Consider the following 1,559-nt stretch of genomic DNA (forward strand, 5'->3'; position numbering starts at 1 on the left):
GAAGCAGCTGGAACTAACCCTTCTCTACTCACTGCCTTGCTGAACATTTCCTTTTTAACTCTTTCCTGTCCAAGGATGTTAGCTCTGCACCAAATATAATGGGCCAAATTGTGAGCTAGCAAGAACCTAGCCTACAGTAAGTCTACTGTCAGCCAAGGGAGGCTCCATTGCTCTTGCTTCATACAGAAGATGTATATATCATGACCAGAACAGCATGGCATGAGTTATTCTTGTTGGTTTATAATTTCCATTTTCAAAGCTTATTCAGTTATGTTACATGCAAGATAAAAGTTTCCCAGGTCATAACAAACCAATGGATAGAAGAAGTCTTTATAGACATTTATATGTGGATTCAAATTTGAGTTCTCTCACTTACTAGGTTTGTGAATATGGCAATTATTTAATATTTTTGAGCCTCGGTTACCACATCTCTAAATTGGGGTAACAATGTCTTCCTTCTGAAGCCTCTAGGAGGATCAGAAAGTTTATACATAATGCACTTAGCACAGACCTTGGCAATAAGCATGCCCTTAACAATTGGCAACTATTCTTAATATCAACTTATATGTTCCAAGGCAAAAACAATTTTTTATAACAGTAAAAGCCTTAAAATTGTAACTAGAATTTTATAATCCAAGAGTGCAATGGGTCTCTCAGCCCAGGCTCCAGCTACAGTTGTTTTGAAGACAGGCTTGAAAACAGATACCTCACCCAACCTCTGCCCAATAAAGACACCATCCAATGAGCTACAGCAACAGAAATTCCTCAAACCTTGGACCTCGTGGGGCTTCACACGTTTCCCACTCAATCAACTTCCTCACTTAGGCCTATGGGCGAATACTTAAAAGAGATCAGTATCTCACCTTAAGAGGCCTATGACAACCAGTGAACAAATAACCGAATGACTCTTCAATCAGCACCCACCAACCCCTCCCACTTGACAAAATGTGAAAGCGCAAAACAGAAAAAAGGTTTTCCCCTCAAGAATTCCTGTTTGATATACTGCCTTGACCTGTACCTAACAGTTCAAATCATGAAAATAAGAATCTTTTATGGTTACTGGGAAAATTTATCATAGTTTATCATATTCTGTCGGCTGGAGAGGAAGAAAAGACTTGGCCAGGTTCCTGCGGGAAAGATAGCCTGTCATATTTGCTGAGATTTATGTATGAAAAAGCATTCAGGATGATACTGTTGTGCAAGATGTCCCCCTCCTGCTCAGAGCTCCATCCATGCAAAGCGAATAGGAGGGGCTTCCCAAACTGCCCAGAGCTGAAGGTAAAGGAGGAACCAGAACGGGGGTGGAGGCAGGGGGAGGAGAGAAGACACTCAACTGCCATCATTTAAACCTCTTGATTATTTAAACTTCTGCAGAATAATGATTGCATATTTGAAGGAAATACATCTGTTCCTTTCCCTCCCCACCCCCATGTGGTTTTCTAATCCCGAGGTAATTACGTTTTGACAAAAATTTATTGGGACATCTGTTTTTTCCCTTAGATCTGCAGGTCACTGTGCGACTCTAACAGCAGCCCAGCAGAGAGCTGTGCTGGAGAAAC

This window comes from Homo sapiens, chromosome 9, assembly GCF_000001405.40.
Source record: "Homo sapiens chromosome 9, GRCh38.p14 Primary Assembly".
In the NCBI taxonomy this organism is placed as follows: Eukaryota; Metazoa; Chordata; class Mammalia; order Primates; family Hominidae; genus Homo; species Homo sapiens.